The 12,962-nt window shown below is 36.4% G+C and overlaps 1 protein-coding gene across 16 annotated transcripts in view; it reads right to left on the bottom strand.

The window, feature by feature from the left end:
- Positions 1-12,962, bottom strand: part of RNF13 (ring finger protein 13) — a 149,452-nt gene that overhangs the window by 103,338 nt on the left and 33,152 nt on the right. For 14 of the 16 annotated variants that reach the window (NR_165474.1, XM_047447380.1, XM_011512373.3 and 11 more), the window contains 2 exons: positions 12,662-12,791; positions 6,206-6,286 (listed from right to left, as the gene is read on the bottom strand). Coding sequence is in view for 9 of the 16 variants with exons in the window: in XM_047447380.1 (XP_047303336.1) it covers positions 6,206-6,286; positions 12,662-12,775 (195 nt within the window). In the remaining 7 variants the exon portion in view is untranslated. The remainder of the gene's footprint in view (positions 1-6,205; positions 6,287-12,661; positions 12,792-12,962) is intronic. The other 2 variants (NM_183383.2, NM_001378291.1) reach the window with 1 other exon arrangement.

The raw sequence follows: 12,962 nt of genomic DNA, 5'->3' as shown, positions 1-12,962 counted from the left end.
TAATTTAATGAATAATGATGAGGGGAAATAAATTATACATCATATAAGAAAAACTGCTTATTTGCAACTTTGTTCTGGATAGTAGGAACAGCATAGTCTAGGACAAATCCGCATCCCATGATCTTCATCTCTTCTATCTTCTTCCTCTTCAACATAAAGAATATACCCTGACTACCAGGTTACAAAACACAGTATATATGGATCATGGCAAATCTAGCCCAAAAGCTGTGTTGCTGAAAATGAGATTTGCCATTGATAATTATACTCAGGTAATCTGACACTTGGCTTACTGATCAAAGCTTCCTTATCAGAGATAAATCTTGTTTTCAATTTTTTAACAATCATTATCTCCTCCACCTATCAAGGCACTTCCTAAAAATATAGAAACAAGAAATCTGGAGAAGCTTGTTCTCCTGAGACTGGCCCTCAATGTGTAACTAAATTATTCCAATTATACTGATAATAAAAAGTATAGCAAGAGACCTTGCTTGCTACCATTACAAATCCACATGTAAAGTCTTGACTACTGTCTTGGTCTATTTTGTGTTTCTATAACAGCACACCTGAGGCAGGTTATTTATAAAGGAAGGAGTTTTATTTAGCTCATGGTTGTGCAGGCTGTTTAAGAAGCATGGCACTGGCACCTGCTCAGCTTCTGGTGAGGGCTGCATCAAAACATGATGGAGAAGGCCAAAGGAGAAGTGGGCATATGTGAAGAGGGACCAAACCTAAGCGGTGTCCTGGCTTTATAACAACCCACTCTTGAGGGAACTAACCTATTCCGTTGGAACTAATTCCATCTAGCCAGAGAGAGAATGGCATCAAGCAATTCATGAGGGATCTGCCCCCATGACCCAAACACCTCCCACTGGGCCCCACCTTCCAACACCCCCACAATGGGGATCAAATTTCAACATGTGATTTGGTGGGGACAAAAAAACCATATCCAAACCATAGTAACTACTCAATAATGATTCTTTAATACTTGGTTATCCATTTGAAAAAGGTAAAAATAGAGTCATACGTTACATTATACAATAATAATTCTTGGCCTCCTAAGCATAGAGTGGGGGAAGGGGATGGGGAAAGGTAATCTTTACCAATTTTTTGAGGACGTAGGAAAGTATATTTATACTGCTAAGTAACATTATTTATCTTTTCAAAGACAAAACATGTTTTCCAAAAAGAACAGTTGTATAGTTCTGAATTTTGCCAAAACATATAAATATACTGTTCAAAAGAACTGTAAACTAATTACTAATGGTACTCAAAGGTTACAAGGTCTAAAAAGGTTGTCTGGAAAAGGTAACTTCCTAAACAGCCAATTAAAATATAAAACTACAAACACAGGACTTACCTAGATACAAAAATAAAATCTTTCTTTTAAAACTTCTGTAACACTGATGTGCCATATTTTAATCCATGAAAAGATTTACATTTTTGCATTAAAGTTCAAATAGGTCAAAATTCCTTGGCTTTCTCATTTTCTTATACTTGAATAATAGTATTTTTTAAGATACAGGAGAGGACAGAAAAAGGCTTTAAATACAATTAACCTAATATTGGGGCATATATAAATAGAATGTAAACAGAATTTCAACTGATATATTATACTATAAATATCTGAAGTCTTATAAATGATTCTGATGGAATCCAGGGATGTTATAAAAGCTACAAAATATAGAACATAAATTAGACCTACAAAAACTATCTCACCTAAACTTTCTGGGCAGAGTTTAAAAGTAAGATATTTTGGGCCGGGCATGGTGGCTCACGCCTGTATCCCAGCACTTTGGGAGGCCAAGGTGGGTGGATCATGAAGTCAGAAGATTGAGACCATTCTAGCTAACACGGTGAAACCCCATCTCTACTAAAAATACAAAAAAATTAGCCGTGCGTAGTGGCGGGCGCCTGTAGTCCCAGCTACTCAGGAGGCTGAGGCAGGAGAATGGCGTGAACCCAGAAGGCCGGAGCTTGCAGTGAGCCGGGATCACACCACTGCACTCCAGCCTGGGCGACAGAGTGAGACTCCGTCTCAATAAAAAAAGTAAGATATTTTGGCCAGGTGCAGTAGCTCATGCCTACAATCCCATCACTTTAGGAGGCCGAAGCAGGAGGATTGCTTGAAGCCAGGGGTTCGCAACCAGCCTGGGAAACATAGCAAGATTCCATTCCTAAAAAAATTTAAAAATTAGCCGGGCACAGTAGCACACTCCCATAGTACTAGCTACACAGGAGCCTGAGGTGGGAGGATGGCTTGAACCCAGCAGTTGGTGGTTTCAGTGAGCTATGATCATGCCACTGCACTCCAGGCTGGGCAATAGGGCGAGACTCTGTCTCAAAAAAAAAAAAAAAAAGTATTTTTCAGCTAAGTCTCATAATAACCATATTATATCTTTAAATTAGTTATATTTTTAACGTATTTATTTAATTGGTTTTACAGACATAATACTATAGTGAGCTACCTCACTTCATTATTATCAAGTCCTTGTAAACAAATGTAAATCTTTGCATGGCTGGCATTTTAAATTCTGATTCTGGGCAATGGCAAAACCAGTCACGCAACTATAAAAGCTACCCATAATAATCCAATAATTTTGTTAGAATATTTCACTTCTCTTCTTGCCCTATATTGTCAAGTGCAAAAAGCAGACAGATATCTAACACCGTTTTTTTTTTTTTGGTCAGGCAGTGAATAAACAAACTCATCAACATATCTTTTAAATGTAAACCAAATTTATAGTAGCACAGTAATTGAGGAGCACCAATAAGATTATGCTTATCGAGAATTAATGGAGCTCTTTAAAATAAGCTTATTCAGTAGAAAAGCTCTTCAGTGAGAAGGAATAGTCTGACTCCTTATGATAGAATGAAAGAAAGGTTGCCAGATCATCATTAGTAATCAGAGAAATGCAAATTAAAACAAGATAATACTTTTGCCCATCAGATTGGCAAGAGTTAGAAAGACCGATAATATCCAGTGTTGGCAAGAGTATAGGGAGATAAGTATTCTCCTACAGTGTTAATGGGAATAAATTAGCACAGCCTTTGCAAAGGTAATTTGGCAGTATCTATGAAACTTTTAGATGTACATACCCATTGGTTTCATCAATTCTACTTCCAGACCTCTATCCTAGAGAAATAACAACTTTGGGGGAAAAAAAATACATATATATATACACACACATATATATGCACACATATATACACGTATATATATACACATATATACGTATATATGTATTTTTAATATATAAATGTAAAGATACATATATATTTTTTAATGCATAAATGTAAAAATACATATATATGTATTTTTAAAGAGGAAATTACTAATAAACTATGATCATTCATATTACAGAATACCATGCAGTGCTTAACAGGAACATACTAGATTTATAGATGCTGCTGTGGAAAGAGTTCTAAAACAGAAGAAGTAGGGGAATCAAACTGCAGAGTAGTTATTTATTTATTTTTATTTTTGAGACAAGGTCTCACTCTGTCGCCCAGGCTGGAGTGCAATGGCTTGATCGCGGCTCACTGCAACCTCACCTTCCTGGGTTCAAGCGATTCTCCCACCTCAGCTTCCCAAGTAGCTGAGACCACAGGCTTGCGCCACCATGCCCAGCTACTTTTTATATTTTTTGGTAGAGACAGGGTTTCACCATGTTGCTCAGGCTGGTCTCTTGACCTGAAGTGATCTACCCACCTTGGCCTCCCAAAGTGCTGGGACTGCAGATGTGAGCCACTGCACCCAGCCCAGCCTTGCAGGGTAATTATTGCAGTAGACATCTGTCACTCACGGTGCTCCAAATTTTCTGAACCCACTACGCATTCCACCTTCCCAAAGTAGGCTAAAACAACAAAAATAACAACAACAAAAACCCTACATTGTATTTCCCAGCCTTCCTCATAGCTAGGTATTTCACCAAAATATGTAGCAAGTAACTATGTGGCCAAAAGTCTATCACTCAGAAAAATCCAAGTGTTGGATTTGGAAGTAGACATGTAAGGAAACAGTCTGAAAAAGGGTATCTCTTCGATTAGCTTGGATGGCAGAAGAGGCCAAATGTTGTGAGGTAAAACCACAAAGGCTTCCTGATGAGAGAAAAAATAATGTGGTGTGAGGGTCCATTGGCTGCACCACTCATCTATAAAGCCAGTCCTGCAAGGTGGTTCTGGGTTTTATTCCTGTAACAGTTTAGAAACTGCCTGTCCAGGCTATGATACTCTGAACATCTTTATCCCTTTATAAATCCCTTTCTGGGTAAAACTAGCTAGAGCGGATTCCATTGTAAGAATTAAGAAACTTTTCATATATACAAATGATAACCATTTATGAATTATACATGTTCATAAGTTTATGAACAAAAAAGAATGAAAAAGCATTACATGTTCAGAAAAGGATCTGAAGGCCTGTAAAATCACTGATAATATTTAACTCTGAAGAGGGAAGTGTGACTGCTACATATAGGTAAGAAAAGAATAAAAGAAGGTGTTTCCTTTTTCTTATGTATATTACTTTTCGGTTGAAATATTTTTATGAGAAATAGTCATACAATGCTATGAATTTTTTTTTAATAATTAAAAATTCAATGCCCCTCCCAGAGGTGTCTGCCATCCTAATTAAGAATAATAGGTTTGTGGTATCTTACTAAGAAATTCTGGCTAGGCACGGTGGCTCATGCCTGAAATACCAGTACTTTGGGAGGCTAAGGTGGGCGGATCACTTGAGCCCAGGAGTTCAAGACCAGCCTGGGCAACATGGCGAAACCCCATCTCTACATAAAAATACAAAAACTAGCCGGGCATGGTGGTGCCCACTTAGTCTCAGCCACTCGGGAGGTTGAGGTGGGAGGATCACTTGAGCCCAGAAGGCGGACGTTGCAGTGAGCCAAGATTGTGCCACTGTGCTCCAGTCTGGGCAACAGAGTGAAACCCTACCTTAAAAAAAAAAAAAAAAAAAAGAGAAATTTTAAGAAAATTAGAATAAACTGAAAACATTCTATGGTACATATCCACACAACTTCATGAATTCATATAACAAAAAACTAATATTATCTTGGAATGAGAAAGGACTTTCTAACCCCCAGAGGTAGAGGAAAAAGAAGAATTTTTAACTACTTAAACAAAACTTTTGAAATCTTAAAAAAAATTAAAAGATAAACGAAAAACTGAAGAAGGGATAATCTGAAGCATATATGGCAAACAATAAATTGATACTTCCAATATATAAAGAACTCTTACAAAGCACAAGGACACTTTCATTTCAAATTGGGCAAAGAGCATTAATAGTCCATTCTCTCTCTCTCTCTCTCTCTCTCTCTCTCTCTCTCTCTCTCTCTCCCTCTCTCTCTCTCACACACACAGCAAAAAATATGTTTAAGTTCATTAGATTTTTTAAAATCAAATTAGCAAAAGTTTGATAATATCTAGTATTTAAGAGGGTATAGGGAAAAGGACAGTCTCAGATGTTATTGATAGAATTCTAAATCGTTCCAAACTTTTTGGAGGAAGAACTGAAAATACAGAACAAAACTTTAAACATTCATGCCACAAAGCAATTCTACATTTGGAAATGTATCCTATGGAGATAAATGGATGAATACACAAAGACAAAAACATTCATTGTAGCACTGTAATAGTAAAAACTAGACAACCTAAATATCCACTATGAAAAACTAAAGCAATGTTCAAAATCCATACTATTTCATGATATTGCAAAACCATGCAGCTGTTACAATTAATAATGTAAATCCTTACCTATCAGCATGAAAAAACATGATCAAAACATACAATTAAAAGAAAAAGGCAGGTAACCAAATAGCATGTTTCTATTAGTGTTAAATACAGATTTACTGTATATGAAAGCATTTACATATATATGTAAATGTGTGTGTACATATATATATGTACACACACATACATACATCTACAAACACACGCATAGCACATATCCTAAAAAAACAGGTCTGAAATGTGATATACCAAAATGTTAAACACAGCTAGTTCAGAATAATACAATCCTAGGTGATTTTCACTTTCTTTCTGATATCTTTTGAATAATCTGACCCTTTACAAATGACTATATATAGGCTTTATAATAATAAATAGTAAGAAATGATTTCATTCTTTAAATAATAAACAATAAAAATCACCTTATTAAATACCTTGTGTCTTTACAATGTATTACCAACTGTCTTACCTTTAAACCTTCAGCTGGAAGTCTATAACCAAATCTTGCAGGGAGGTCATCAAATGTCTGAGATGCATTTTCAAAGTTATACTAAAAATAAAATTTTAAATATTCAAGTTAAGACCAATTTATATATAACATTAAAAACAAAGACTTATTTAATTATGTATAATTATTATTTTGACAATTCTGATTACTATCACAGCTTATCAAAATAAAACTGAATTTGTAAATGTACATCCACTAAAATAGAAGGAATATATATAATTTACAACATATACAACTGCTTAAATTGGATTATTATTTCAAATATTATCGAGCAGCAACACTAATTCAGCCTACTGTTTTCTGAGTTTTTCCCATAGACAATTTCCTAGCAAGGAATTTTCCAGACAGATCATCTTCCAGGAGGAGTGTTCCATTTTAATTTCTCTGTATTATAAAGGTCTGATTTACTGGAAGAAATTTACAGCATTTCTGGCTCTAGCTATGAAAAATGACTTTCTTTTTGGAAAGAAGCAGCATCATATCATATTTTTAAGGCATGTCAATTTTGTATAAGCTGAACATTTTTATCCAGGGTTGAACACTGAAAAGACCAAATTCAATGAAATACATACACGGAAAAAGCTGGAGGTATTCAAACTCTTTAACAATTTTCCCCCTTCCACACAGATATAGATTCCAAAGCTACAATATTTATTAGTCCTTTACCAAAACAAAACAAAAGTTCTTTGTGCTTTTAGAAGATAACAGTAATGATAATAATTGTGAGATGAGTTTGCTGTATCATTTAATAATGTTCAATTTGCTATACAGAGAGCAAGAGAAACAAGGGAAATGGATGAAACCTGAGTTTCATAGATAGTAAACAAGTATAGATAGTAAACAAGTAACTTTTGAAACACAAGTGAAAATGATGTACTAGAAATTAAGGGAAGTGTTCACAACATGTAGGACATAAATACAAAAAAAAAGAACACATTTGTTTTGCATATAGATACAAAGGATGGTTTGAAGATAGACAAAAAGGAAGAAAGCAAGAGTGTTATATATAGATAAGAAAAGATGGAAGGATCAAGTAAACCTTAAGTATTCACAAAGCATGGATTAAGTCACGCATCCAGACTGATAGCTACGTCATCCCTGAATCAAACACCCATTGGTTAACGCTATCCTAGCCTCTTATGTCATCTGCCAGAGGCATGCAGATAAGCAACTCCACAGTTTAACAGCCAATTACAGCTGTGACCAGTTGCCTTGCATCTCTCCAGTACAGCAAGCAAATGTTGGATCTAGACACCTTTCATCTGTCAAGTCTCCTTGGCTCACCGTCAACTCAGGTCCTGGTAACCATACCACACTGTCAGCAGGAAAAGTTGATGCAGCATACAGGAAGACTGGACAAACTACAACAAGTGACCCAGGATTCAGGTAGTGTGGTTCTTGCATCCCACTGGAACCCTATCTTGAGTGTCTTAGCATGTCCATCTTATACCTTTGCCTCTCACTGTATGCTTGTAATTAGCTCAGGAAACTGTGTGATTCAAGCATCTAAATGCAGTCACTAAACCTATTCATTCTGTCATTGCTGGGATAATCATCCTAGCAGTGTACTTGGAGGCCATCAAGTATATGTGGTAATTGCTTCAGCGTGATTTCCCATTGCAACAATAATTCATATTTGCAGAGTACTCCATAGTTTACAAAGTACTTCAGAGTTACAAAATGCTTTTAAACCCATTATCACAATCTATCGTTTAATCTCTTAATTAAAACACATTTAATTGATTTAATTCACCTATGATCAGGTTAATGTTGAACTTGAGAAAAACATTTAATTCATCCCAGCCAAAGATGTCACTGTAAAATAAAGTAACTTATCTAGATCAATGGAAATAGAATGAGGACAAAATACAAATGTGTGTAAGCAGTATTTTTTAATGTACTTTTGAAATTAGGAAATGGGGAATCTACAAACTATACTAAAGTATTCTTTTATCTCTTCCTATTACTTAAGAGTTTCACTATTATAGCTAAAATTATAGAAATAAAATGTCTAGCTTGAACTACAGTACTTGTAACACTGAGATGTGGAATAAGTTTTGTTACTGAATGAAACCCTTTTTGAAACTGCTTTGTCTTTCCTTAACAGCAAAATAAGGATTGTTTCATATTGTCTCTTAAAATCATATTGTTTAAAACAAAAAATGTTCCTACAGTGAACAAGACTAACAAAGGTACTTTACGTTTTTGGTATAAGGAGGGAGGGGAGCGATGCTCATAAAATTAAAGCATGTTCACTGTTTAAAAATCTGAAGTAGTAGGCCGGATGTGGTGGCTCACACCTGTAATCCTAGCACTTTGGGAGGCCGAGGTGGGCAGATCACCTGAGGTCAGGAGTTCAAGACCAGCCAGGCCAACATGTTGAAACCCCATCTCTACTAAAAATACAAAAATTAGCCAGGCCTGATGTCAAATGCCTGTAATCCCAGCTACTTGCAAGGCTGAGGCAGGAGAGTCGCTTGAATCCAGGAGACAGATGTTGCAGGGAGCCAAGATTGCGCCACTGCACAACAGCTTGGGCAACACAGCAAGACTCCATCTCAAAAAAAAAAAAAAATCTGAAGTAGAAAATAGTTACTCCTCACTAGAATCCCATTCTTAGTGATTACCACATAAGTTTGACTCCACTTATTTTGAAAAGGTCTTTTCCTTAACCAATTATTTTTCTTGACAGCTTCCTTAACAAAAGGTTTAATTGAATTTAGAAAGTAATAAATATCTAACAATTACTGAGCACTCATTATGTACAGACATCATGCTAAGCACTTTACAGGTAATAATTTATTTAATCCTAACAACAACTCTACAAAGTAGGCCACTATTACTATCATCCTCATTTTACAGATTGACAACAGAATGTTGAAAATAACAAGCTCTGGTAAATTAGAAGAACCAGGATTCTAACCGAGGCAGTCTGGCCACAGAGCTCCAGCCCTTAACCCACTACCCTGCACTGTCCTTCACAAACTCTCACTTTTACAAAGTTAACTGCGACTTAAGAAATGTTAAGTAATCTGCCCAAGGTCATGCAAATAGAGTGGTAGAGCTGGATTTCAACTCTGATTATAAATCCATTTCTGGAGCCTGGACTACCCATGCTATATAATCCAATCCATTCACACCACCACCCATTGGGTGTTTCTTTGCTACACAGCACACTGGCCCTCAATAATCACTACCCAGCAACCAATTCTCTCTGACAAATCCAGACAAAAGAATCAAAAGGCAGACTGGGCATCAAGCTACATGGGTTGTTTGACTCTCATATAAGATGGATGTTACTTCTCAGTAAAATCATGGGCACTACTCAAAACTAACATGTCACTTGTGGACTCTGAGTCTCAGAATATACAGCACTGATGTAGTTCTCTCTTAAGTGCAATTCTAAAATTCCATGTTTCTAGTATAAACCTACATAATTAATAGTATTACGTTTCTTTTTGGGTAAAAGAAAAATGATAAGAGATAAAAACAGTAATCTAAAAGTACTAAGGAACAGATGCTATTAAAAGAAAATGTGATGGTACAAAATCTCTAAGAGAAGGCTTTTAATTACTTCAAACGTTTATTGAATTCCTGTGTAACTGACACCAGGCACCAGGAATAAAGTTTAGTAAGACACAGTCCTGCCTTCCAAGTACTCATGGCCTAGAGGTCTGTCTGACTAGTCAGCTAGTCTAGTCAGCTATAGACTAGATGCTACAGTAGCATCTCCATAGCCTCTTAGAACTCAACAACTACTTGGACAAACACTGTTGTCTGTGAATTGAATTCAACTGCCAAAAACAAAAAACAAAAAACAAAAAAAACACAAAACAAAACAACCAACCAACCAACCAAAAAATCAAAGGCATCTGGCATTACAAATAGCATAACTAAAACTTAATTTTTCAAAAGCAGCACCCCAAGCCCTGTGCAAATGGAACTAGAATCAACCTAGTTGACTGGAACTAGATGTCTAATTTATTTATATCTGTATTACTGCAAACTCAGATTTCAGGGATGCTCTTATTGCATTAAAAGGAGGTGCTCTTATTTTCTACCTCTTAACTCACTTCCTTTGAATGATTGTCACACATCCAGTTCCTCTGTCTCAATTTTTAGTTCCCTGTTTTACCAGTTATATGCTTTCACAAGCCACTCCCCTCCAGCCATCTTTGCATTCGTGTCAGCCTTCTATCCTTATGGACAGCATAGAGACCAGATTTAAGCAGCTCCCATCTTACAGTTCCTTCACTACAGGACATCAACATACATTCCACAAGTACCTGTGTAAAGCACAAGGAACACTGCTGGCAAAAAGGATTGACCATTCTTCCATACCTAACATTTTTTTTTTGTCTCTAAATTAAAAAATACAGCTCAGGTAGTTTTGTATCTTCTCAAGGGGCTGAATGAAGTATAATCAGAATGATAATTATAATGAAGATTAAAACCATATATAAAATATTTACTATGTGTCAGATACTATTCTAAGCAGTTTATCTTATTTAATCACCACCACAACACTCCAGTTTACATGAAGAAATAAAGAAACTGTGGCACTTATAGCAGCTGAGTAATTTGATCAAGGTTATATATCTGCTTAAGTTCCCAGAGCACAACACTGAAAATCATTTAACCCATCAGGGAGCTCCACCACAGAATAGCAATCCACCTTGGGTATAAATGAAAGAAAGAAGGCAAAAAGTATTAAAAACAACAGAGAGGGAAAAAGAGAGACACAAAATGGAAGAAATCAAAGGAGAGAAAGGAGACAAGGAGAAGTTTATTCCCTGATCAGTCCATAAATCCTCTAACTCATTTCAAAAGTCATGCCAAGAATATTCTAAGGATTTTAGGGACCAATTTAGAAGGGAGATTTGGATAGCAATGGACTCAGTCTTTAAAGGCTCTATTTCCATTCCACCTCAAAAAGACCAAGACTATTCCCCAAAACAAACCTAATCAACCAGTTCCCTACTACAGAGGACAACAGGGGGTTAGAAATCTCGTATGGATTACTAGCATCCTCTGCCTTCAAAAGCTGTGGTATGGAAACCAGCCTGGCTCTCTCAAGTGCTACAATGATCTCAGAATCTTCCAGAATTACTGCAATGTGCAGAAGCACAGCTGGGGACCACATCAAGCTTTGGTCAGCAACAATTCTTGCCCTTTTATTTCTCACCTGATATCATTAAGCAAATCAGTTGCACCCAGAAAGTAAAACCAAATCCTTAGCACAGACCTAGAGTATAGGCATGTATGTTCTTTTTCTACCTTCACAGAAAAAGAGAAATAGAAAATATATATCCTCAACTTACAATGGGGCTACATCTGGATAAATTCATCATAAACTGAAAATATCTAAGTCAAAAATGTTTCATAAGTCAAATTCTACTTATGATATTTTCAACTTATGATGGGGTTGTTGGAACATAATCTCATCATAAGTTGAGGTGCGTACTGAATGCATATCACTTTCATACCATCATAAAGTCGAAAGCTCACTAGTCAAGCCTTATCTTAAGCTGGAGACCATCTGTATACTCCCCAGTGTGGAGGAAAGTAAGACAGTAGCTAAGAGAGGCTATGCTAAGGTTTTGAGCAGCACTCTTCTTCTCTAAAAACTTTTCTATCCACCATCAAAGATAGGACCACTGTGCTTCTCTTCTGATTCATTAATGCTAATCTTGGGTTGAAATTTTCTATGAACATCTTATAGAATTTCTTAAATATTATTATCAATAGAGATACTACTGAGATCTTACAGTCATTAAGAGATGTACTAGGTACCAAGAAAAACAGTAAAATTCTATGTAAGCACACAGCAGGTAGGTATGTGTGCAAAGCACCCACATGTGCACACATACCCTCATGAGCAACATTATTTATCAGGTACTGATTGTTCATGAGATCTTACATTAGATATGAAGCAATAGAAAATGAATAAGGGGCTGGGCGTGGTGGCTCACACCTGTAATCCCAACACTTTGGGAGGCCAAGGCGGGAAGATCACCTTAGGTTCAGGAGTTCAAGACCAGCCTGGCCAACATGGTGAAACCCTGTCTCTATTAAAAATACAAAAAAATTAGTCGGGCATGGTGGCACACGCCTGTAATTCCAGCTACTCAGGAGGGTGAGTCAGGAGAACTGCTTGAACCCGGGAGGTGGAGGTTTCAGTGAGCCAGGACCGCAACAATGTACTCCAGCCTGGGCAACGAGAATGAAATTCCGTCTCAAAAAATAAATAAACAAATGAATAAGGTACCTCAATGTCAAGTAACTGTGTATATGTGTTGGGGTATGTTTTTAGATAAAAATGTCTTATAACAATGTCTTATAAATATCATTCCAGGCTTTTTTTAAGCTTTTCTTTAAGGGATGTTTCTAGACATGAATAAATTTTACTGTACTTACTGCTAAAATGTCTGCTTCTACAGGCAGTAGGTTTAAGAATGCAAAGAGCTGGACAGTCAAGATGGTGTAGACTTGTGTGGCTGACAGCATGAGCATCCCTATGGAGAGCAGCATCTCGTTGTAAAATCACCTGGAAGACAAGGATGTGAGTAACTGAGAGCTGGTGCTTTGTCCCAGGGAATAGATCATTTGATATATTAATTCCCAATGTCCAAAAATATCCCTTTTAATTATAAACATGTATTAACATTAAAAGTAAAGCTTTTATTTCAAAAGCATAAGAACTTACACAGATTTGGAC

Source organism: Homo sapiens, chromosome 3 (genome assembly GCF_000001405.40).
Source record: "Homo sapiens chromosome 3, GRCh38.p14 Primary Assembly".
Taxonomy (NCBI): Eukaryota; Metazoa; Chordata; class Mammalia; order Primates; family Hominidae; genus Homo; species Homo sapiens.
The sequence above is the reverse complement of the archived record's forward strand: the minus strand, read 5'-3'. Positions and strand labels throughout refer to the sequence as shown.